This window comes from Homo sapiens, chromosome 4 (assembly GCF_000001405.40).
Source record: "Homo sapiens chromosome 4, GRCh38.p14 Primary Assembly".
NCBI classification, from domain to species: Eukaryota; Metazoa; Chordata; class Mammalia; order Primates; family Hominidae; genus Homo; species Homo sapiens.
The window spans coordinates 157,313,482-157,341,235 of record NC_000004.12 but is presented as its reverse complement, the minus strand read 5'-3'; the positions used below and the strand labels follow the sequence as shown (position 1 = coordinate 157,341,235).

Genomic DNA, 27,754 nt, shown 5'->3' with positions numbered 1-27,754 from the left:
AAGTGAAATGAATGACCTAATAAAAAAACAAGTTAGCAGTATTATGCAAATATTGACTTATAGGGGAATATTTAATTTTATATTTTTCAATGTATCTACTAGTTAATGAAACTGGAAATCATTAAACATTTTGGGCAAGGAGTACAGAGTAGCTAAATTTAATAACATACACACAGGTCAAAACTTCTGATTTCTGGAATACTTTCATAATTGTAATGCCCAAATAGTTTATGACATGAATCCCATAAGAAAGCAATTTCAAGAAATTTACAAATACTCATAAAAGTTTATCCACTCATGATGTAAGTAAACATAAACAAGAGAATGTAATATCACCAGCAAACCTCATAACAACATTTATGAACAAAATCAAAAATTAAAAAAAGCATACTCCACAGATGTAACTTTAAACACCAAAGAAATCCTCCCTTTAATTCAATCAGTGAATTTCCAAAACAAAAAAGGCCTCAAATTTTGTTAATTTTGTGTATGTAAAACATAGGTATTAGATACAGTACAGGAGAGAAAAATGAGGAAAAAATAATGCTACAAGCAAAGATACCGCACAAAATATAACTATTAATGAATAAAAATCAGATGGCTTCAGAGTATGGATGGCTATGACCCTGTTCCTTTATGTGTCCTGCTCAAAAAAAAATAAAACTCAAAGAAAACAAATTAGACATTTAAAAGTTTGTGAAGACATAAATTTCTAGTTTGATGTATAATAAAATAACAATATTTTTCTGACTACAAATTCTTACATAAAATAGTTTTTAAAAGCTTAATAGATACCCAATAATTTACTTTAAAACCTGAAGTAGAGGAATACAGGTATAGAGATATAGAAAAAGATATATACTGTATTATTTTGAAAGATTTGATGGGATTCTGCACGTAACTAAGTATTTAAGTGATATTGACAAACCAATAAAACTAACCGTTTCTCTGTTGTCAATAACTCTACTATGTCTAACAATTAGACTTGCTAGTGTGAACAAGTGATAGTTCTAAAAATTTAGATCATGATTGGCAATTTGTGATCTAAAGTTTCTGACAATTAACAGTAAGAAATAAATCTTTTGATGAAACATATTCTAGATCAAACACTTGGGAAATATTTGTAGAATAAACCACTCAAGCAGTTAAGAAAGGAGAGAAGCTAACTTAAATGAAAAGTTTTTTGATATAAAAACATCAGTTGCTAAAATAAAGGAGATAGAGAGAGAAAAATAGCAAGAAATAACAAAAAGAATATAATTAAGGGACTTTATCACAAAGTCTGTATGAAATACAAAAAAATAAATATGAAAGGATGGAAAAAGTTAAACACTTCTCACATATATTCTGAAAAGGATATTAAATATATTTTACATTTGAAAAATGCCTTATGTAGACAAAATCACTCTCAAAATGTTCACTATTTATCCAATATCAATGGGAAGTATAGTTATATGACACATATCATATATTTAAGAGCGCAGATTCAGTACCTGCCTGCTCAAATCCCTTAAAACAAAAGCTGATTACATGGTAATTGCTTTTGACTCTACATATTGCGTATTAATTTATGACACGTTTAAGAATCATTTTTGTGTCATTCTATTCCAGTTGTAAAAATTAAGGAAAGTTAGATGTAAGTTGTCCTCTATTCCAGTCCTTATATCAGATTTAATATGTCAACTGATTTAAAATGTACATGATATCTAAAAATTTTTATTGGACTTATAAATAATTCAAAGGTGAAAAGTACTTCAACTATTTATTATTTACTTTTAAGTATTTTTAAAGTATCAATTCATGTTTCTCAAAGAGTTCCTGAGAAATTATGCAGAGAAGGAAATTCAATATTATTTTATGGTGACAGACAAAAATTACTTCTACAATTAAAAGTAAAACTTTCGCCCATCAGCATCAGCACTAAAGGAATAAAGAAATGTGCATATGCTCTTATTTCTTTTTAATCCCTACTAAATCATTTTTTAAATGATATATGTTTTTATATTCATTTGATTCCTTTAGGGTCATTGGGGACAATCCAGAAGCAAACAGGACAATAAAAATAACCTTTACAGCATATTGCTCTCATAATTTCTGTGATTCTATTCTTCATGAGACCATGTCTTATAGATAAGATATTCTAAACTTAATTTCAGAAAAATGAGAAATCACTTAATTTAATAAATAACTCTAGATTACAACTTAAATGTGTCCTATTAACATTAATAATATAGTTTCATATCATATTTTACTTGGAAAAGAATCATAATTTTTTTAATATTTAAAGACATTTCTAAAGTGATCTGTGGATGTCATGCTTTTTAAAAATGATAATAAGCTACTGTATTCTTCTCAACTAGGGTAACCATCATTGCATTCTTAAAAAATGATAGTTTTGTTCATTAAAAATCATTAACTTTTCCAATGTATTATGTTGAATTTTAAAATTCATATATAGCATAAGTGAAAGATATGTACCTCAAATGTTTTAATAAAATAAATTTGTATCAAATACATTCTGAATGAAAAAATACCAATCAATAACAAGGAAAAATATGCTATCTAAAAATCTGTTTATCCTACCAGGAAATAAAAGTTACTACATGTGAAATTGTAGTGTCATGACTCATGAATGAAATCAAAAGCACAGAAAAAACATCTTAATTTAGATGCAGCCTTGATGAAAAGGAGAAGTCATCTATATGTCATGGTGGACTCTGGGATAATACAGATTGCTGATATGCCTTGTGCTCCAGTCCCTGTGTGCAAATAGGTTTCCCACTCCCTGACAAACACTGGATACCTAAACAACTACCTGCAGTGCCATCATGCCCAGGCGCAGGCATCTACTGGAACCCAGGCCAGACTGGGCTGACACATCCTACTTCATAATGAACCCACATACACTTCTCCCTACTATCCAAAAGACATAGCACAGGATATTATTGCCTTACATTTCAGAACTAGGGTAACATACTTCATTGTTCTTCTTACCAAAGGGAGAACCACTTCTTTATCATTTTATGGGTCAGAATGTTCTCCGAGACCCCAATTTGGTTAGTATTTGCCTCCAAATTATTAGAAACTTCTCTGTATATCTTTAACTTAGATCAAATAAACTAAATACAGAGATGATAAAACTATGAATCTTATATATTTTGTCAGAGATAAAAAAAATGTGTGTGTATATATATATATATATATATATATATATATATATATATATACACATATATATACACACATATGTCATGCTGTGCAAATTCCATTGGCATATTTCTAATTCACTGAAGTCCCACAGGGAAGTCACAGGGAATCTGGTGGAACTGAAATTTTTAAAATCTGTATAATTCATAAAAATGTAATTTTTTTTTATCATTCCCACTATAATTACCTACTATCAGAGAAGTAAGCTACTGATAATTTCTGGCTACATGATGTATTTCCTTTATCTTACTCAGTGAAATATACTAAAAAGATTGCAAAAGATGCAAATCTTTGAGCTTCTCATACAGTTTTCTTAAATTAATCACTTGTTATTCTCAAAAGTGATTTTAAAAATTTACAATATAATAAAATTGTATCATGAAAGGCACCCGCTCCACTAGTTATTAAGATATCCTGTAAAATCGAAGAAGGGTAATAGAGCCCAAATTAAAATGTGCCAGTAGAGTGATAATCATTTTGACTTAAAATGTTAATCACACTAGAAAAATCATGATTTATTCCTCTGAAGAGCCAAACATGGCTATCATTCTTATTCATACGTGCAACATGAATAAAATCAATGGGTACTTTGTGGTAGATTCATTATAATTAGGTATTCTAGTGCAGGGATTTAACATATCATAATGAGATTAAAGGTAGGTGAGTTTATTCCATGTGTGTGTGTATTACCATTCGATATGGACAGGTTTTTTAATGAATGATTAGTCCCTTCCAGGCATTTGTGGGTAGTTGAAAATATGCTATTATATTAATCCAGCAACCTCACCTAGAAAAAAAATAAATTTTATAATATCTCTCCCATACCATTTCCATGAACTAATGATGGGAAAATAAAAGAGATGAGATGTGTGCCAACGAAGTTTTATCTAACAAGGTGTTACTTTGCAGTTAATAAATAATGTTGCCCATTTTCCCATATACAGGTCTGTGGATCAACACACAGATGACTGTAAAATGAGAATATGCAGCAAAAACACGGTACCCCTCCAAGAAGGCATGGAATGATAGGAACCTTATGCATTTTATAGCCTCTTCATGGTGTGTATAATTTCACCAGAGAAATAGATGAGCAACATTCAAAGAACATTGTTCAAATATTTCACAGACTTATGCCGAAGCTAAGAGGATGTCCTTCAAGAGTCTTAAACTGCTTGGACAGGAAGTCGGCAGCTGGTAACTTCTTTAGGGTGAATCCATAAACACCATGAATGTCCACTTGAGACCTGAAATGCACAAAGTTGAAGCAGGTGAGTAACCAACCTTGGCGAAATATCGCATCCTTGCTGCATAAAGGCACCCAAGGAAAACCAGAGACTATTAAAAATCCCAAATTCATTAGTTGATTCACTACTTTGTGTTTCTCTTCCATCTTCAAACTCCTCAGTGTGCCACTCGTAGGGGCTAAATCTGCTGACCAGGAATAAAACTACACTGACCCCAATGTAGGCAAAAACAATGCACATCCAGATCTCATAGGCTAAAGGATCAAGAAAGGAAAACACTCCTGGTTTGGACTTCTGAGGCTTCTTGATCATGATAGATATCCCGAGGCTCATGAAGGGCTTTGAGAAGTCAATCACCTCTTCTCTCACAAGGGTAATAGTTAATGGAGCAATTGCAATATCAGCTTTCTGTAAGGGAAAAAAAGGAAAGTAATAGTACCTGGAGTCATGGTGAAAAAGGAATCGTGGTTATGTCACTGGATCAAAGAAAAAGGAGAGGAAATCAGAAAAATGACAATAATTTTTTCCTTGGTATAGTCCCAGTAAAGGATAAACAAAAAGGAATTATTCCCCGAATGCCCCTCCTCTTTATGAATACACAGTATACCCAGCTGGCTTGACTATGATCATTACACATCTGCACTGCATCCATGCATTTGCAGCCTTTTGACAATACATATGGCCCATATGCTTCAAGAGAGATGAAATGCTTGTCTCAGTTAATCTACATGTCTACTTCTGGCTTCAATCTTAATCTTTCAGATGTTCACAAATCAACAAGATAATGTTTCTAGAGTAATGTGGGAAATCAACAACCTCAGATATAGATACTTCACAGGGAGAGGAAGCAGTCTGTCAACAACAATTCAAATTGAATGACTTTATCTATGAGAAGAGCTATACTTACCCCATATACAAGTTCTCCAACCATCCCATTCCAAATTTTCGTGTCTGCATCCCTGGCCCCATACTTGCCATCACCAACAATTGTCAACTTGTACTTGAACCCACAATGTTTGGCGATTTCTGCAGCCAGGTCAACACAGTAGCCCTCATAGCGCTCATTGCCTTCAAGCATTTCATGATTTTTCTTCATCATAACATACGGAGATTCCTATATGAAAAGACTTTGCTTTAGCTGATTAAAATATCTGTGTTAATTATGTACTCTCATTGAATCAAATCTTCTGGTTTAATTATTACCCATTAGCCAGAGTGAATGAAGAATATAGATGGTGAACACACAACAGTAGAGGAATAATTTAAGCATAATGCTTCCCCCCAGAAAGCCTCGGAATGTCTATCACTATAATTCATTAAGACGGCTTGTATGCAAGCATACTGAGTTAACAAGATACTCAAAACCACAAACTCTTTGTATGTTCTCTAGCCATGTTTGTCACTGCTAGGACTTAGAGCAAAATATTACTGCTCAAAACCTATTTTATTCAAGTTTGGATTCACCACACCCTTATCCTTGATTAAGGTTAGGCCAATCCCAAAACCAGCATTCACCCAAAACCCTGTGTCACTGCTGTCCCAAAGATAAGGTTCATGTGGAAATCAGGTTCATGGTCAGTGATACACAAACTGACAGGATCATTGTCATGATGATGTACTGATTCTACCCCCGCAGGCTTCAGGTCTCACTTCATCTGTGAGATACAATATCCTAGAATGATGCTACAAGGATAGCTAGAGAGTAGCTTCCCCCTGTAAACATAAGAAAAAGGAAGCAAGAAAAAATGAATCAACACAGTCCAATATTCTCCATTGGAAAGTGGCACTGAGGATATTTGGGGTCTCAGTGAGATAGTTCCTCTCAATGGCATGATAAAGGCAAAAATCCTCAAATGTCTAATTTGCACTTATCAAGAGATTTTCAATTGCCTACTAATGTTTTAATTCAAATCCCTTACCAATCTATCTATATCTGCTCTCAATATTGTTAGGAGAATAAATCACACCAATTTACAACTTCACTGCTAAGCCCATTTTTTTTTGTAAAAGAAAATACAACAAAATAGTTTGTCACAAAATTCTGTCCTATAACGAACACCATTTTCTCCATTTCATTTCACCAACAGCTTGTCATGCTGATCCACATCTCTCTTCCATCTATCCAAAGCCTGGGTGTTGAAGATCCAGTTCAATTTTTCCTTATTCATTCAATATGCATTTTTTGTGTACTAGCTATGTGCCAACCAGTGCTGAAATTTGGAGTAAAAACAAGGGAAATAATCCTTATTTTTAAGGAGATCATCTTTCATTAGATAGAATAAAGACAACTTGACATCATCATGAAATCATGTAACAAAGGGAAAGAAAGAATTTACACAGTATCGGGTGGGAATGGAAAGGTGAATAACTCGCAGAAACATGAGGAACACTCTTCAAGACATTCCCCAATTGTTCACCGATGTAAGCACCAGGGTAGGAATTATCTGTGTAAACTGTAGCGTTCCTTAAAGAAAATGGGGAACATTTTCAATGCTTTAGCTAGATCTTGTGTATTCCTTTTAACAGAGTAAATATGAAATAAATGATTAAAACATTGCAAAAGAAGCAAAACAGATATTATTCTCCTAAAATATAAATAGCTACTCCTGCAGATATTAGCCATAAGAAAATACAAAGTAAAACATGGCATATGTAGCAAATTACCAAAATTGTGGTGACAACAACAGTCTTATTCTCAAGCCCAGAGGTGTCATTTCCAGAAGGGAGCTCAGTAAGGGTAACAACCATTTTGTCCACTTCACTCCAGTAGCCAATCTGGAAAAGGTTACAGCAGACAGGTGTATGGATAAATGACTTGTCTATTAGCAAAGCATTTAATTATTTTCAAAGCCATGTCTGAATCTGAAATTAGAACCACATTTACTGGACTTGTTCTAAATAGAAATGTCTTTTATATATGTGAATCTAACAGGAATAAAAGGAAGTATAAAAAAATTCCTAAAAATGACTTGTCTCTTCATATTCACTTTTTGTATTTTCTAAGAGTAATTGTTTGGGAGTGGTCATATAGAAATGTAATTAAAATCCAAATAATGACATTTTAGCCTAAACAGCTAAAAGGTTGATGTTGAATTGAACAGTTACATGTGTATTTGCACCAGCTACTTTTTGTCTTCTGAACTGTAAACCTTCAACAATAATTCTTTCTCTTTTCATTAAAGACTTCCCCTTCAGTCTAAAAAATTAAAGTTCAACAGCTCTACCTATAATTATTTTTAAAATTACAATTCAATGTTACTTACCAGAAATAAACAGACTTTAGGAAAAAAAAACTTCAAAATATATCTGTTTCTGGAAGTCGTTAAACTCTATGTGAATACACATCTCCAGAATTCTCTGGAAGGGTGAACTCATAGGCTAGCTAACTCACCTCCTCACATAGAACTGCCTTTAAATCACTAAGGATTTACCTTCCGGGGCCCATTAGTTTTGAGCTCCATGATGTTAATTGTATAGTTTATTCTTTTTCCATTCTGGTCAAACTTTATATTTCCTGAGAGACCTTCAACCTGAACCTAATGAAGAAATGGGAAAGCAGCAGAGTTATATATTTACTTCAACCAAACATATACACTGTACAGATTACTTTAACCAGATGAAGTCAAGAAAACTACATCAATAATATTTGTTTCTCTCTTCAACCTACCTTTGTGTTGTTAGAAAAGAACATTGCCTGTATATTAGACACAAGGAATAAGACAAGGATGACTAATTTAGCAGGAAGAAAACATTAATGGCCATATTAAGTCACGTTAACGATTATTTTGAGTAACTGACCTGTTTGAGGGCCCTTTCTATTTCTACACCTTGTCCCCAGGGCACTGCTGGGTTTGCCAGACAGTCTCCTGCATTCCCCCTTCGGGAGATTTCAATTCTTTGCTTCCTTAGGTTGCGGAAGGCTTCAGTCATCACTTGAACGGCATCATAGGTCAGAGCAGAAGTATACTGCAAAGGATCACACACATTTCATAAGAACGGGAGAAAATTCAGAAACTCACTGCACCCCAGCAATCAAGACTGCAGTTGCTCAGCACACAATACCATTTAAAAGTCCAAGAATTTAAACACAATTTCTGCATCTAGAAACCTAAGAATCGAAGAGAAGCATTACAAAACATGGGGACTATGAAATGTGCTCCTGACTCTAAACATTTTCTATTATGTTAATATCTCAGCTGTTTCAGGTTAGACCTTTTCATAATAATTGTGTCAGTGTTTATTTTTCTTTTTTTTTTTCTAACCTGCTTCTTGTTACAGCCTCACTTTATAGCCTGCTATGGTGATATACAAAACTATAAGACTAACAATTAATATTTCTTTACAGTCCAATGAGAAATTCATTTGTCAATGCAGAAGGAATATGGATTACTTTCAGGATTCTTAGTCTCTAATTCAACCCTGGTCATGTTCACACTGATCTGCAGTGGTTTTAGGGGTGTCTACTTAGGCTCCCCTAGGCGATTCTGGTAATCAAGTAGAAGAACCACAAAACTTCATAATTTCTATGCCCCCATGCCTCCATGCTTCAATAGTATATGATAACATTGGTTCCAAACTTATGGTATTCAGATCCCAGTGGGACAGCAGAATTATTACAGGTTCTAGGGCCAAGCCCTAGGTACATGTGTACAAGGCATTGTCAGTGTCTAGATAAGTAGTAGTATGTGCATGTATCTATACTACCATTTGCCAAATGGATGATGCTGTCAGTTAATGATTAACTACATTTTGACATTAAAGTTTTACTGAACGTTGAGAAAATTTCTGTCATTGTTTTTCAATCTGTAGGTACTAAGAGTACGGCGAAGCTTGGGAGAAAAAAATGCAGTACTGTACCATACTGACTTTGTGACATGCTAAATTCTTGATCACCAATCCAAAACAGGTACTCAGCATTCCCAAATAATTCTACTCAGTTCCTTAGTATTTCAGGTCTTTCACTCTCAAAAATGATAATTTCATCTTTGTCTTCTCCAAATACTGAGACCTCCACACATTTCTCTTTCTCTAAATTCCACTGAAAACCTTGCCTTCCTTGTCATGGAAAAAAGATAAGCCATCTAACAGTAAAACCACTAAGCTCCCCATACTCTGTTGTTCACCTGAGATGACAATACAGGACATCTACTTAATAAAAGACTTCTTGAACCAAATAAGAAATATCACATCAAGATATATCTGCTTCACTTGTATGTTTGTTTCTACTCTAAAGGAAAAAAATTGATTAATTTGTTTTTATACAGTGATAAGTTTATTGCCAAGATAATTCTTACAATAATGTCTAGGTCTCTGAAAAAGAAATGTAAGCTAAATTGAATAAGTCAAATATTTTAAAATATTGCAGTTTGTATGGAAATTATGATCATAGCAAAAAGCCAACATTTTTGACTTAGCTTGCTCACATTACTAAGGGAAAGCTATAAAGCCGTCTACCAAATGTGTTTGAGGTCTACAAATGTTGGTTAACTACATTAAAAAAAATATGATTAGCTTGAAAGAATTGAAAGCATTCAGATCCACGTAGCATATTATGAATATGATTCAGAGCATGCACACATTAAGAGTAAAAATCCTTTCAACCTTTTTCAAATGCTCAAAACTAATCAAGTCTTAAGCCTATTACCATTTTAAATTAAAAGTCACAATCATAGAAACACAATTCTGGGTTGAGAGAATATCAACAGCTTCTGTTTCCAGAGTTCCTTTTTGCTTATGTTCTGCATGTATGGCTCATTTATTTTTCTAAACAAATATGTTCACATTTTTTGATTGGATAGTTAAATATTTCAGTTTTATTCTACCATTCATTAAACTAGATGTAAATTAATTTGAAAGGAGCATGATGGCAATGTAACTATCTCCTTTGAAAACAAATGCTTCATCTCTGCCCCTGTGTTTATGTTCTGTGAAATCCCTCAGCTGAGTTGGAAATTTATATTTCAGTGGAGGACCATTTTGCTTTGCAGTGCTATATCACAATCACGTCATAGCCACACATTAAGAAAAAATCAGGGAAATCGTTTTTACAGTCCATTTTCCAAATGTGCTTTTTACTTTGCTTTAAATGTATATTTATTGAGACTTATTTGTCAAAAATAAAATGAAATATGCATTTTAGACATGTTTGTTATGTCCAATAGTCATCAGCCAAACCAATCAATAATACATTACTGTGATCTCTGATACCAGAAAACAGTATTCTAACACCAAAAAAGGGGAGAATGAAAAAAAGTTCTGTGTATAGCTCAAATTTAATGAACATAAAAGAGGATAAATAGGCTACAGTATAAATTTTCATGGGTTATCACAATGACGGGCACCTTTTTCTAAACATAGTATCTACATCATAATAAAATTTTGAAAAAATATATTCAAAGAAAAAGTACTAAAATTTAAGTACTATTAAAGTGTGACGATATTTCCCATGAATGGCGACTTTCAGAAATTTTCTTTAACACTTGAATTTAGTTGACTATAGTTTAGAAAGCATTGCATTTAGCATCAGAAGACAAGGCTCAAGTCCAGATTTTATTATTTACTGTTCTGTTGCCTTGGGCAAGTGAACTAAAGTATTATTGTCTAAGGTTGTTTAGTAAAATAAGGAGAGCAATGCTTCTTCTGTCTATGTTACAAGAGCGTTGAAAAGGAAGGTAGGGAAAAATATTCATGTTTACCTTGTTCTCTTTGTGACAAGCCTGAGGTAGACAGTTTCCCAGTAAGTCTAAAAAACCCTATGCCACCACTGTTTTTATTCCAATTCTATAGGTGAAGATTCCAGGTTATAAACTTTCATTTTACCCAGCTTCACAAAAAATGTGTGGCAAAAGTGGATTTGAATCCAGATCTCTGTGATTCCGAGGTAATTATGATGACCAATGGTCCTGGTTTTCCTCGATTGTCACAATTTTGCAAGGAAAAGTCTTGAGTCCCAGGAACCTTTTCAATCCCAGGTACACTGGGATGGTTAGTTACTTTATTTGGCAAATACTGTATCAAATAAATGTATAGTAGGTGAGAAGCTTGATGAGTTGTAAAATATGTTATATATGTAAGTTATTGACCAGTAGGTTTGCATTATTTTCTTCTTTTGTTACTATCTATCTTGATGCAAAACTAGTTTGTTTTTACCATGTTTTGAAAACCACCATCTCACTCCACACAAAAGGGTTCTGTGATCTAATAAGTACAGAAAATGATTTTCACATTGACATATTATAGACCCTCAGAAATCCCGCAATAACAGTTTAACTGTTTAATTAGTATTTCCCAAATTAATGACCAATTTTGAAATTTCTTTAACATCAATTATTTTCCATAAGAATAGTGTTTTATGTAACATACTTCGGAATGTTAAAAAGTTTTATGGCCTGGTACATTTTACGTACTCATTTCTAAAATAGCCTCAATTATTTAGTTAAAAAATTTTTATACATTGATTGATATTCCTCTGGAGAATCTTATGCAATATTAATTCTCAGTTTCATCCTTTTACAAAATAATTTAAAACAGGGTCAAAAATTATGATTTCTAGGAAAGATAAGTAAATCTATAAGAAAAATTTTAAGAAAGTTTTTTTTAAGATAACCAACAGTGACCAAATCAAATAGGGCCATAAGACAAATGAACAGTATGAGGAAATGTATTATAAACTTAAAATTATTCACTTGTCTTAATTTCAAATTCAACTACAGTTTACCCTATGGAAAAGAGCTGTCTGTGATAAGGTCGTCTTTAATTTACTGTAAAGCATATTGAATATGTGCCCTTTGAAACTTCACTGCATAAAGGCATAAAAATCTTCATAAAAACCTTAGTAAGCACACAAGCTCTATCACATTTTCCAAGGGTGAAAAGGGAGCTGCATTGGCAAGAAACCTAAATTAACATCTTTTATTATTCTCCATAAATAATAAAATAATTTTAATTTTCTGTGAAGAAAGAGTCTTCAGGTAAAAGGAATAAATGTAAAACAACATATTTTTGCCTAAATTACCCAAATTGGCTATTAATCTTTACTGAAAATCTTACAGATTAAGAATTTTATATTCAGGAACTTTAGATTACTTAAGAATTCAAATTTTCAGATAAAGCTAATCAGATTCACCAAGACAGAAAAAAGATGCTGAAATCAAGGCATTGTCTGGTTTGATTCAGCCATAGGTAAAGACTTCCTTAGAAGCAGATCTTTTATTTTGTTGGTTGAACACATCCCTCTCCCTGACTCTCCACTTCCTAGAAATCTTATAACAAGGTGAAAGTTCTTTATTTTTTATGATCTATGAAAAACAAAATATACATTGTCCAGAGTAATTTAGGATTCAGTTTCGGCACCTGGAGATCAGAGTTGTCTGCCTACCTGCAAGTCACTACAATCTCTAAGAGACAGAGGCACCACTTGAGATGTCAGAGATTTGGCAAAAATTTGAAATGTTAACAATGTTTTATTGAGGGCTTAAGTTAGCACTTCACATAATCATGGTATTAGAGATTTGCAGGAAACCTAAGAGTTTACCTACACTTGTTCCCTTTACAGATAAAGAAATATGAAAATAAGATGTGAGATGCCCTGAATTAAATTATAAATATTAATAACACATTTTTATTTTTAATGGTGTGATATACATATTTTTAAAATTCATGTTTACAAAATAAACAATCTTATCAATATAAAATTTATAAGTTTATTTCAGTCATTTACACACTTTTTAAACTATAAAATACAAGGAATTAATATGTCAAATTTCAAACTTCCAGGTTGTGTTGGGCAAAATGCTGTAATATTAGGAAGAGTGAACGCCAGTCTGCCAGCTGTGGTTTGGACAGTTAAAACACTCAAGAAGCAGAATTAATTCTATTAGGCCACTAGGGTACAATTTAATGCATGACACTAATTACTGAACTGAAAAAGATTATACTATTTTCAGGCAGATCTAATAACTCTCTTAGGACAGCAATTAAGAAAGTTTGAGTCTGCGTGTGAAGTTGTTTCCTGAATAAAATGAGATTCTTGTGGGAAAGCCATTATTTAAAGTGCCACACAAATGTCAGCCACAGATTATTGTTGAATTCCTTAACACCAGTAGGAGACTGAAGACACAAAAGTTGAACAAAGGTTACTATGTGATAAGGTAGAATGGCTAGTCATACCTTACACGATGTTGGAGACATTAAAAATACTAAAAATCAGTCTAAAAATAGAAATATTCATAAATTATTTTTGAGATAGTGGGAAATATCTTTATACTCTTTCTCTTTAAAAAAATTACTTTTAAGGAAGATAAAATGACTGTTTTAATATTCCCATGTAAATCCTGGTGCTATGATGGGTCAGGTCAGATAACTACATTAACTTTACATTTTATCAACTAAAGTAACTCATTGCTTTTCTGTCAGGGCTCAATAAGAGGACACATGCAGAAATCTATGGCAGAAATCTAAATCATATTTCATCACAATAATAATGTTATATTTTTTCCTTTACTTATTCAATATTTTCCAAATAATTACTCTTCATCCCTACAAATATCTATAGTGTGCTTACTCTTTGCAAACCACTGTGTGAGATTTAAGGCTAATAAGATACAAATGAGCCAGATTTCCTTTGAAAGGCTTATTTCTAACCCACAAATATCTCTTGACTGAATTTATATCAGTATATTACCTATGAATGATTACGATTTTACAATTATTATTTCATTTATGAAGAAATTAAGAGAAAAGGCAGATGTAACAAATCCATCTATTTCCCTCCATCCCCATGCCACAACCACAATTAAGACAACCATTGTCTCTTGTCTGACTGTGATATCTTCCAAAAGCTTCCCTGCCTCCACCAGCGCTCCCTGCAATCTCTTGTCATCAGGGCAGCCATAGTAATCTTCCTGTATCAAAGCCATGATCAGCACTCTCCTCTTGTAGTTCCCTGTTGCTCTTCAAATTAGACAAGAAATCCTTAATATGTCAACAAGGCATAAAACTTCTGGATCATACACAGTTCTAAAGTATGATTTCTCAGCATTTCTTCAAATCATTTCTGTTCAACCTAAAGCCTTATGGAAATATTTATATTTTCCTTGCACTGGAGACATTACATATCCTAGTTCCTTTATCTGGAATCATTGTTCCTTATGCTTTCTCCTAACTCCTACTTCTTCAGGTCTCCAATTCCATATTGCTCCCATTGAGAAGCCTTTTCTTACCTCTAGAATTAGGATTAGGAGCTTCTCATAGGTGATACCACAGTACCTTTGCTTTTCTTTATTTGTTGATTCAGGAAGTATCTATTAGATGGTTACTATGTATGAGGATTTATTCTAGGAGCCTGAGTTATATCAATGAATTTTTTTTAAATGGCACTTACTTTCAAGTAGGAGGAGATAATTAACAGTGAAATGAATACATAAATGATAAGAACAGTAAACTAAAAGGTAAGAATTGGGAAAGCTGGATCAGGGAAGGGTGATGCACAAACCCTGATGGTGGCAAGATTGCAGTTTTAAATACATAGCCTACTATTGCCTTCCATGAGAAGACAGGATTTGAAAGAGATCTAAGGAGTGCAGGAGACTTAGCCATGCAAATATTTAAGGGGACAACAGTCAAGAAAAAGAAACAGCCAGTTCAAAGGCCCTAAAGTAGGAAGTTGCTTAGGTTGGTTGAGGAACAGCAAGGAGGCCAATGTGGCTGAAACAGAGTGAGCCAGTGTACAGAGATGTGGCTCCATGGGACTGGGTGACAGGGCCTCATAAGACAACAGGATGACTTTGGCTCTTTTACTCCAAGTGAAATGGAGAGACATTGGAGCATTTGGAACAGAACCACAAAATAATCTATTTATACTCTAAAAGGACCACAAGGATGGAAGATAACAGGGGCAGGGGTGAACGGAGGGAAATCAATTTTAGAAACTGTTGTAATAATCCTATGGTGGTAGCTACCTAGGGATTTAGGTTGGCTGAAGAGAAGGTGGTAGGAAGTGAGGCAGTGCTAATGGGGTTTTCTGATTCATAGGATGTAGATTACAAGAGAAAGAGAAAAGTAAAGGACCAAGTTTTTGGTCTAAGCAACAACTGAAAGACGTAGTTGCCATCAACTGGGATAAGAAAGACCGCTGAAGGAATAGTTTCCAGAGGCTGAGGAGGAAGTAGTGAGGAAAATCATAAGTTTAGTTTTGAATATATAAGTTTAAGATGGCAATAAGACAACCTCCATCAATGCTACAATTTAATTGTTGGTTTCTAGTCTGAAGACTGTAATCTCCTTAAGGGCCAGAACTTTGTCTTTTCTCTGACACCTAGAACAGTGCCTGCTGTGGAGTAGACAATAAATATGTGTTGAGTAAATAAATGAATTCATAAATGAATGAATGAATGTTGCCCCAAATAGCAAATTAGTAAAAGGGAATCAGACCTAAAATCTCAGTGCCATGACTTTAGTTATTTTTTGTATAGTTTGTAAGAATGAAGAAATTTAAACATTGTAATTTATATTTGGTGGTTATTAAAATATGTTAAATATTAAACCTTATTTACATTTTATTTTTATTTACTGAATAAAATTTATTTTAATTTGAAAACTTTGGAAGCTGATTTAACTTTAGGGGAAGATGAAAACGTTGAACAATCATTTATTTATTACTCCCACGATTTGATATAATTTCTATAATTCCTAAACCCTAACTATGGAAAGAATTTGGTGTATTGAACTGTATTTTTATAGATTTTTATGCCAATAGCACTAGTTTTTATTGTTGAGTAGTTGAGTAGTAAAATGTGATATGAATTTATCAGGCAATGTATCCAATTCAGTCGATCACCCAAAAGACAACATCAAAGGACATAACCTCATTGTTAATAATCTCATTAGAAATATTTCACTCCCTTTCTGTAAGCAAATAATATATTGAGACTATATTCTTTGTTTATATTTAGAGGGTGCTATATAATCTCCTAGTTTTTCTTCCTCTCTTCTGTCTGGAAGCAAAAATAATTATGAAAGCATGCTCTTGTTACTACCTTCCACATCTGTTGACAATTTAAGGACCTTACCTCTTGCAACTTCCATAACATGACCTCCCTCCTCACTGGTCCCAAATATTTACATTTTTGCAGTAGCAACAAATGTGCAGTTCCCTGGATCTGTCATGCTGTTGCCTTACTTCGAGTCTCTGTACATTTTGCACTTCCCCAAGCAACTTCTCACACTTTTCTTCCTTCTCAACCATGTGCAAAGCCTTGCACAGGCATCCCTCCCATGAAAGCCTTCCTTGACCTTCCCTCCAAACATTGTCAAAATCATGGCCAAGAAACTGGCATATTTTATCAGTCTATTATATTTGCTGATTGATATGATTGTCTCCTTCTTTAGGCTGGATTCTCAAAGACAGGATTCATACATTTTTCATTTATTTATATTTAGTTTCTGGCCTTCTAGTACATAAGCAATGCATTTCTTTGTTAGGATAAACTTCCTCCCCAAACACATTCTCCTCACAGATTTTCAGTAATTTTTATTGAGCTTCAGGGACCTCATAAAATATGCCTCTGGGTGGAGTTAGAGGGATTATAAAATGTTAAAGTTGGAATACACCTTGGAAATTGGCTGAAATTCTCTCATTTTAGGAAATGGCTGGGAAAACAAATTAGCCCTTATAGGCACCTATGTTTCCAAAGCTGTGCTAACCCTTTGCAAGTGTTATTTAATCCTCACAGCAACCTGGGAATTAATGGTCATTACTGCATTGTACAGATGAGAATCCTGGACCCAGGGTCAAACAGTGATTCACAGCCTAAGTTTTAAAACACATTAGTCTAGGTTCTCTGAAACACCTCACCGTGAAGAAGCATAATGATCTCTCTGAAAATGGGCAGAAGCCACCAAAAGGGAGGCATTATGGAGGGGAAATGCTACAGCAGGAAGGGAGCAAGAAAGGTCACAATGCAGGTTCTCAACTCAGTGAAATCTGGCACTAGTTTTGGCAAAATTTTTAACAGAATGCATTGCCAAACATCTCTCACACTGCAAATACCTCTTGCATTTTAATGCAAGACACATTAACTTGAATCATGATACGACTTCTAGGAGAAAAACATAATTTCATTTTGCTTTCATGCTTCTCCTAGCAGGCAGCAGTTGGGGGCAACACAATGACTAACAGAATATTCGAAAGGAGCATGCTGGTTCCATTTGAGGATAACATCCACTCCATCAGAGAACTTACATGGCACCATCTCTGAATGGACGGAAGCCTGCAATTCCACAGAATGGGATCGGCAGTTAGACCCCTTCTAGGCACAGATGGATACATACGCTGACACCAACTAAGGCTCTGGGTATCCATCTACCTGCTCAGAAGCCTCGTTACATGAAAAGTACCTCCCCGATATAAACAGTATGTCTTTTTTTTTTTTTTTTTTTTTTTTTTTTTTGAGACAGAGTCTCGCTCTGTCTCCCAGGCTGGAGTGTGCAGTGGCGCGATCTCGGCCCACTGCAAGCTCTACCTCCCGGGTTCACGCCATTCTCCTGCCTCAGCCTCCGGAGTAGCTGGGATTACAGGAGCCTGCCACCACGCCCGGCTAATTTTTTGTATTTTTGGTAGAGACGGGGTTTCACCGTGTTATCCAGGATGGTCTCGATCTCCTGACCACGTGATCCGCCCACCTCGGCCTCCCAAAGTGCAGGGATTACAGGCGTGAGCCACTGCGCCCGGCCACAAATACTGAATCTCAACTAAAGTCACCAAATAGGAAGTCACCTCGTTTTTGAAAAAAAGTTACTTGGTGTTCTTCTTTAAAATCCTATGGAATGCTTTTACAAAATTGACTTAAAAATTAAAAGATCCATTTATAAATCCAAAAGTAAAGAACTTCAAAATTTCTAATCCTTTTCTAGGACCAATCTCATAGACAGTCATGCACCTAGCATCAAACAACATCTCTATGATGCATACTCAGGTACAACTGTGAGAGCAACTGAAATAACACTGTCCTGCCTGGTTCATATACAATTGCTTTATAATTCACAAACAAAATTACTATACAATTTTTCAACTTTTGCTCTTAATTTTCATAAAGAATGTGAACATCATCTTAACTTTCAACCCACTCACTCTTTAAACTACCCTTAGCCAGTTTTTCATTTTAACTCTGCTCTCAATAAGGTTACCAACTGAAGGAAAAATACCTTCCTGTCAACAGCAGAAATATTGACTACTTGGAAGTAAATTCATGCACGCATGTGTATACCCAATAAAATGCATCAAATAAACAAGTGAAGATCTCATTGTGTCCAAACCCATGGAGAACAAAGATCAGTCTGTGTAGCTCTTATACCTGAGGAACAAATAATATTTAGCGTTCAAGAATTTTTTGTTTGATTGCATAAAGCATTACAGTTATGTTTTAATTATTAAGGCAAATTGAGATTTTTATCTTCTTTTTAAAGTGTTCAAGAGACCAGGCTACTCATCAACTGTTATTTTATACACACACACACACACACACACACACACACACACACACACTCTCTCTCTCTCTTTCTCACTCTCTCTCTTTCTCTCTCTCTCTCTTTGTGGCCATACGTTTATTGACTGAACTAAGAACTGTCTGCAAGTTGGCTTTTTGAAGATTAGGAACAAACTGACACCTATTGTTCTTTAATTTATTTGCAAACATAATATTCTAAACAGCAGTCAGGGTAAAATTGTCCCTTATTCTTCAGGTCTCAGCTTAAAAATTCCCTACCCCCTCCATGTCGCTAAGAGTTTTCTGTTCTCTTCCCTCGTGGCATTCTTCTGTCAATGCTTTTGTCTTTATTCCATTCAACTGTGAGCAGGGACATTATCCCTGTCTTATTTGCCAAAAAAGTGTCTGGCTCAGAATCCACTCAATAAAAATGCCAAATGGATTAATAAATGAATGAATTTATTTATTATAAATTATCATAGGTGTACGGAAGTAGAAAACACAAGAGTAATACAGTAAAGCTCTAATAGCTTTACTTAAACCATAAAAATGTGAAAAATATATTTAGCAGTCAATATGTTTGCCATATTTTGAAACGTGCTCTCTACTCCCTTTATTATTTTCTCCTTCCTCCTTATTTGCCAAGACTCTTCTCTCTCCTCACATATGAAAGAAAAAGAAAAGACAGAAACCAAAGCAAACCTTAATTGTTGTTGTGTGAGCTCCAGGGTATTCTTTTTCTTCCAGTGTTGACCATCTTTCTATAAATTTAGATACCAACGAATCATCATAGTCCACTATCTGAAATCCAGAGACATTTGCACCTCCAAACTGGATTTTTAATAGGTCTCCATCAGTAAATCCCTAAACATAGAACACATTGATATCACGCTTTTTGTTTGAGAACAAAATGCTACTTAACATTTACCAAATAACTCTATACATTGTGGTTTTAGATATTTCAAAGAACATATGAGATATAATAAGCCTGCAGAAAATGTCCCATGTATTTATCAGCCAGTGTTCTTCATCAGCACCTAACCCCACATTAGCATCATAGTGGTTCCCTAATCAATACACGTTTACTGATGGATCATCTCATGAAACACTCATGGTTGTACCTACATAAATGTTCTCCACTCTATTGAGAAATCTTCCATTGATAAGGACTAGGTTTTACTTACTTGGTCTACAGCGGAGAACCACCATGTGGTTACAGACACTTAATAACATTAAAGTAGTTCTCGAAGAACTACAACCTTGTGAGCAAGTTACTCCTGTTTGAATTACTTCTTCACTCAGGTGATAGGAACATCTTCAAAATGAGGTACTAAATGTCCAGTCATTATTTGAGAACAATTAAACAATTTCACATTCAGCCAGAAGCTAATTTTATAGAATATATTAAATCTTAAAAAAAAATTTATCTTGTGTTATTGCAATGAATTCAGTCATTACTAAAACTATTATGTGATATTTACATTGATTTCAAATATTGTGCTGACATGAATTTTATCAACTTGATAGTATATCTCTCTCAAAGATGAAATTAATTTCCATATATCACAATTATAAATGTTTTCACATTTCACAAATATTTATCTTATTGTACACAAAAGTTAAAAGTATCCTAAATTAATTTTGAATTACCACACCCCAAAACTTAGGAGAATCTTTTCTTTGTTATTGATATTAAAACATGCATATTATTATATTATTTAGCTGAAGGAGAAGGTAATTACTTTTTATTGGCTCACAATTTTGTTTCTGTTTATCAAGATAATGCAAATAGTGCAAAAAGGTATATAACAAAAATCATATATTCTGTTTTACCGTAGGTATGTTCCAGTTAAGTTGCTTCAAAACATTCAATTTTAATATATTTGCTTTTCACATATTTACCTCTTACTTCTGCATGACACTTTTACTGCTCTTTCTTAATTTATCAATTTTTGAAATTTTATTGAGTTTTTGTGTATCCCACATGAGTATGTAATTTGCTTACATGACAAAACCATTTATCTTCTCACCCATTTTAATCAGTACTTATAACTCTAAATGTTATTCAGAGCAAAGCCAAATAGTGTACTAGAATTGCATTTTCTTTCTCGAACATGATCTCAGCCCATGTTTATAATCATGTCCCATTTTTTCAATGCTAGAGATTTCTATATGCTTATCCCCATTTTTTCCAGTGCTTCCATGAAAACATTTCATGCCTATGAATAAAGCTTTTTAGAAAATAAAATATTCAAACATATCAGGTAATTTGTTTCAACTTTTTCTTGAATTTTTAATTTCTAGGAGACCCCTTTCTTAATGCTGGAATTCATTATGGAACCATGGCTTTTTAAAGAATTAAATCTATAAGGGTAGTAAGGTTGGAGAAATGAGAACTGGATTTCCTTATGACCACTTCTTCATCACCTTATTTACAAGTTACCCTTTTCAGTGCTGTTGTAAGGGACTTAATTATACACTGTGTTTTAGGAGCCCAATCAAGCATTCAGCAATTCCTAAGGAAATTAATCAATAATATTATCTGCAGATTTTTAAAAAATCTTCTATAAACACCTATTATAGAACTCATTACAACCTGACAGGGGGAAGAAAAGGAAAGTCTCAAGAGTTTGGAAGATGAAAGCCCTTCAACTTCGGGTGGCATTGTTTAATTTTGAATGTCAGTAAAATTTCCAAGTGTCCTCCAAATTCTCAGAAATTGCAACACTATACAGCCTTTCGAACTTATTGATTCACTAGAAGTTCCATATGGCAAAGAAACCAAGTATTGAGAAAAAGAAAAACAAGACTTGAATTCAGATAAAATATTAGGTAGATTTTCTCTCAAGAAGCATGACAGCAGCATGAACTTGCTTTTTCTTTTTCTTTTTAATTTGGTCATTCAAACACTTATTTTCATTTTAATAGCATCAGATATCAGCTCTCAAATTGAGGAGCCACCTTCTGTCATTATTTCTCAATGTTCAAATATAATCTTCTCCATCTGTACATTTTTAAAGATCACAGCTTTCAATGTGGCTCTGTGTTGTTCATCAAATGGCACGATTCACACAGGGGACTGACTGTCCAGGCTGTTTCCTGCACATAATGTGGTTCTGGAGAGACTGAATACAGAGCTTCATCTAGTTTAACTCTTGTTTCTCTTCAGGGAGTCCTTAGCATCTTAATACACTCTAAAGGAAAGTCCTAGAGAATTTTTATAGTAGTTACCCATTTCATTGCCAAACAGAAATTTTGTCTTGAGCAACCCAATAGCATGCAGTTTTGAGATTTCATATTCTAAATTCCTTCAACTTCTAGTGAAAACAACATTTATCAGTTGGAAGGCTGTAAATGTTGTATTGTTTTGTTTTATCTCTTTCTGTCACCACTAGAACTAATGTCTTCTGATGTAACAATGTGATACACTAGGAATCATTAAATTTGTATATGTCAAAAGCTTTTCAAAGTCCTATTATGCTATTTAAAATAAGCTCTCTGCCTCTCTCCCTCTTTCTCTCACCTTTTTTTCTTGTTCTTGGGTGAGACAGGGGTGTAGAGGTATAGTGATCCTGAATCACATAGCATCTTAATTATTTAAATAACATTAAACTCTGTAGCAGTAAAGGCTTAAATTATTTTGAAAAAAGAAATTTCTAGTGATAATTCTAAATTGACTCTGATGATGCTTAAAAGAGGGAAATAGAATTAACTACTCTGTTGCTTCAGTATACTACCTTCTTTTTTAATTGTAAAAGGTTTATTCTGAGCCAATATGAGTGACCACGGCCCAGAGAAAACACAAACCCAAGAAGCCGTGATTAAGTGGTCCTTATTTTGACAGGAATCATAATAAAAAGATGATTGGCTACAGAAATTTAATTTTCATTTGGTTGCTTACATAGTAAGTAGGAAGTCATAAATAATGCATAATATCTCAATATTCTAGATTTTTTCAGGTTTAATTTCATACTAAGACATATTCTCACAAATTTACATTTATTTCAGATATTATATATGCTAAAAATTAAAGGAATATGCAGAGGGCAGAGTTTATAAAAAATAGAGACAGTGAAAAACAGAGACAAGGGAATATGTGGACAATTAAACTTTAAATATTTTTGAGAATTTTCCCTTTTCTTAAAATACAGCATCTAAGACAATTTATGAAGCTTGTCAAATATTGTTCTATAAATTCTTATATCATTTATAATAATAAGAAATTGATTAGAAGATGCAAAGTGGGAAGCAATTCTAAAACATAATTGCAGCAATATATCTAATATATCAAATATAATCAAGCTATATTTATTATTATTATTTTCTGAGACAGGGTTTGTCTCTTGTCACTAGGCTGGAGTACAATGGTGGGATCTCAGCTCACTGCAACCTCCGCCTTCTGGATTCAAGCAATTTTCCTGCCTCAGCCTCCCAAGTAGCTGGGATTACAGGTGCCCACCACTACACCTGGCTAATTACAATCAAACTGTATTTTTTAAAACACCACTGATAAATGCTGGCCATTCAAAATTAAATTTTTAATAAATAAGCATATCTAGTAAAATAATATATACCAATTAATTCACCTACCAGATTTGCAATGATGTAGTGGTACCCTTTAACATGTTTTCCAATGGTAATAACCTAATAAGCACAAATAAGTAATTATTTAATTAATACAAATAATGCAAGTGTAAAATTAATGGTATTATGATCTGATTCAGGGAAAAACGTGGAATTTTATCTGCTAGGTTTGTTGATGTGCCAAAATAAGTCATTTTTGATAAAATATAATTATCAAAATTAGATAATATTTCTCTCATAAAAAGTAATAATACATATTAACGCTTAATAAATGATTCTCTTTCAGGAAGTCACTAAACAAAAATTATTACCTCATTTTTGTCAATAGTAAAAAATAAAACCACAGAATGTTAAGAAGCATGAAACCAAAGTATCTTTAGTCCATGACAAGTCAGAATTCTATTCCTACAAAGGCTATGTTTTTGTCTTTTTAATAAAACATTAAACATCTCAAACTGTTTAACATCTGAGATTTTATATTCATATGTCTATATTCAAATAAATACACCTAGAGTTTATAGTACTACATACATTTCAAAAGAATATTTAAAAGCATATAAAAGAATTCTTACATGGATATGTAAAATAACATTCCTATCCTAAGGACCGTGAAATGTTTATAATTTAGTCCAAAGGGACATTATTGCCAGCTCTAGAGAGCAAAGTATCAGAGAAGCTAATTTTTCTCCACAAACCCAAATCTAAAATGAATGTCAAGATAAACACAGCATGAAACAAGTGGTCATCGTTGTAATGCTGACAACGGTTTTGGACATTATTGATCAATTTGACTTTTGAATGATCTGTATCAATTACGAAGAGAGTAGAAATAGGCAAACTGGCCATGCTTTAGTCCTGGTACAGGGACATTCAAATGTAATGTAATGTATGTTTTTTAAGGAGATGATCACAACAGTGGAAAGCATGAAATGTTAAGGCTATAGACAAAAATTCAAACCAAATCATTTCTCTGATTAAATGGTTTTGGTGAGTTTTGCTTTCCAAAGTCCAATGATCTTGCAAGTTTCTGAGGCTCAACTTTCCTATTCTGTACCCTCAAGTCACATTGGCCCTTTTAGGTTTTTTTGTTCACAGGGAAGCTTCTTCTCATCACCTTAGGGCTTCACACATTTTGCTTCCTCTGCTTGTCTGCTTGGAAAGCTCCACCACTATATCCTTTGCCTTATTAACTCTTGAACATTCTTACACCCCCTGGGAGAAAACTACCCTGACTTTCTCTAATCGGATACAAAGTCAGGTGCTCCAGAGCAATGCTATTAGTTAAAGAGCAAGAACAAAATCCTAGGAATGATTCTACCATATGCCACTTTGATATTAAGCCATAGCTGTTTGAAAGGAAGTTAAAACTTACATTGTTTTCTGACTCAGTTTTATGTAACATGACTAAATTGCCTTTTCCAAGAAACTGAACCCTCCGTGTTAAGGGGAGAATTCTGAAGAAAAGATGTCCTTCTGAATGAAAAACATATAAATTAGCATCAGCTGAATCAGATTGATTATGTCCCTCCTATTTCCTGCTGACATCTGTTAGCTCTGCTTACTGTACATTCTACTCTCTGAATCATCCATGTCTTCCTGCTGAGAAATTTTTTAAAAACATAGTATAAAAGGTTGTATCAGTAGTCCCTACTTGAGTTTACTTGAGAGAAAGGAAGGATATGAAAATTCTCTACCCCAGCATCTATATAAAAATTTGCACTGGCCATACTAACCACCATGTCTTTGTGTTATAATAACAATTATTATTGCACTGACAATGGAAAAGTTATATTAATTTATAAATGTTTTTGATGGCTGAATCTTTTTACCACCTAATAATAACTAGAAATCTGTGCTGTCAAAGTTTTATAAAATGATAATAAAATACCCATAGTCCACGCCTGTAATCCCAGCACTTTGGGAGGCCAAGGCGGGCAGATCATGAGGTCAGGAGTTCGAGACCATCCTGGCCAACATGGTGATACCCGGTCTCTACTAAAAATTACAAAAATTAGCTGGGCGTGGTGTGTGCCTGTAATCCCAGCTACTCAGGAGGCTGAGGCAGTAGAATCTCTTCAACCAGGGAATTGAAGGTTGCAGTGACCTGAGATTGCGCCACTGCAGTCCAGCCTGGCGACAGAGCGAGAATCTGTGTCAAAAACAAAACAAAACAAAACAAAACAAAACAAACAAACAAACAAAAAAAAACCCATAGCCTAATAAAATTTAATTTATTGCTAACTTCAAGCTACTGTTGCAATAAGGAGTGCTATCTCATCTCTGTTGTCTTGAAAAAACACTGGTTGAGTGAATAAACATTGTTTCTTTTTTTTTTTTTTTGGAATGTACCTTATCCTCATTTTTTGCCAGGTAATCTATTCCTTGAACAATATCCCAATCTAAATTAATTCTTTCTGTAATGATCTCTCATAGCATACCATTCTTTTCATTTATAGTGTATCCCATTAGTATAATTATATATTAATTTCTGTAAATACATTATTAATAGTTGCACTGATGGTGGCTGGCCTATTGTTTAACATTGCTTCCTTGGATCTACTGCAGTGCCTGCCTGGCAAACATTAGACACTCAGGGAATATTTACTGAACAAATAAATGAATGAATCCAAGCAAAGCCAAATGCCACGTCTTATGTGAACCCTTCACAAATTGTCCTTCCCCTTTTAAGAAAGGTTCTTTCTCCTCCATGTCCTAGACTACATTGCATTTTAACTTGTAATTCTGTAGTGCTGTCTGTGTACATTGTGTACATTTTTATCTCTAAGCAATGAGTTCATGGGATGCAGACATCACTCTTTCTTACCTTTCTTTGCATCCCTCATTTCAGGCACAAAGCATGGCCTCAATAAATGTTTGCTGAGGCCATCCATTGCATGTGCTCATTTAATACATTCAAGGGACTTATAATATATATGTGCAAAATACTCTGCATTTTGAATAGATGTCCATATGGACGTTTATGTAATCAAAACATCACTTACAATATATTCCCGTTTGCTTTTGTAGTTTCTCTCTTCTCATTTTGGAAAAATATATTTTTATATAGTCTTTCACTAACATTTATTATGATGAGTCATGAATCCTTAAATTTTTTAAACCAAAGACTAATGAATATTATTAAAATTCAGTTTTAATGAGAACCTCTATGAAATTCAAATGCATTTTTGAGGTTCACATTTGAACAAGAGGCCTTCAGGTTAAAAACAATCTTAACTTCATCTCTTGAGACTAGAATCAAGATTTTCTACTGAAATTATTCACCTCTCTGGCATTCAACATTTAGTTCTTTTGCATAACAAGTTAGTTCTATTCAGTTATTCAATATTCCATGAAAGATCTATTTTGTATGTCTTAGGGCCTGTATTATTATATATCAATTAGGATTTAATCAACATTTATGTTACAGAATGTTTTGTGTTGAACAAATTAATGAATCAAATTTTTTCCTCAAAGCTAGAAGAGCCAAGAAATGCATACACAAGTGTGTATTTTCCTTGCACTTCCACAGTATTCTAAGGCACTAGCAGCCACAGTGTATACTATTGCCCCTTGAACAACATGGGTTTGAACTGTGTGAATCCACTTATACATGGATTTTCTTCCACCTCTGCCACCTCTGAGGCAGCAAGACCAACCCTTCTTCTTCCTTCTCCTTTACAGCCTACTCAATGTGAAGATGATGATGATGAAGGCTTTTATGATGATCCACTTCCACTTAGTGAATAGTAAATATGTTTTCCTTATGATTTTCTAAATAACATTTTCTTTTCCCTAGCTTACTTTATTATAACAATATGGTATATAATACATATAACATACAAAGTATGTGTTAATTGACTGTGTGTTATCTGTAAGGCTTCTGGTCAATGGTAGGATATTGGTAGGGTCAACTGTATAAATACATATATGTGCACATATATATGTACATATATGCATATGTATACACACACATATACACTCATACTCACACACACACACACACACATTTTCAGCTAGGAAGAGATGCAGATATCAGTAAAGGAGACCTTATTCAATCAATCATAATGTTGATGCTGTGCCACTATCATCCCTAGTCACTTACCCTATTTGTAAATCATGGTGGATTTTACCTGTATTATTAAGATAACACTGCATGGCTCCCCTACCCTGAAAGACCTTAAACTGAAGCAAGGTAGTATCTAAGCACAGATAAAAATATCCTTATCACTGGTGTCA

At 33.8% G+C, this 27,754-nt stretch overlaps 1 protein-coding gene across 7 annotated transcripts in view; it reads right to left on the bottom strand.

The window, feature by feature from the left end:
* Positions 1 to 27,754, bottom strand: part of GRIA2 (glutamate ionotropic receptor AMPA type subunit 2) — a 145,956-nt gene that overhangs the window by 24,840 nt on the left and 93,362 nt on the right. For all 7 annotated transcript variants that reach the window (XR_007096394.1, NM_001379000.3, XM_047450131.1 and 4 more), the window contains exons 5-11: positions 23,525 to 23,578; positions 19,637 to 19,798; positions 8,250 to 8,417; positions 7,883 to 7,987; positions 7,116 to 7,226; positions 5,359 to 5,565; positions 4,489 to 4,859 (exon numbers count right to left, since the gene is read on the bottom strand). Coding sequence is in view for 6 of the 7 variants with exons in the window: in NM_001379000.3 (NP_001365929.3) it covers positions 4,489 to 4,859; positions 5,359 to 5,565; positions 7,116 to 7,226; positions 7,883 to 7,987; positions 8,250 to 8,417; positions 19,637 to 19,798; positions 23,525 to 23,578 (1,178 nt within the window). In the remaining variant the exon portion in view is untranslated. The remainder of the gene's footprint in view (positions 1 to 4,488; positions 4,860 to 5,358; positions 5,566 to 7,115; positions 7,227 to 7,882; positions 7,988 to 8,249; positions 8,418 to 19,636; positions 19,799 to 23,524; positions 23,579 to 27,754) is intronic.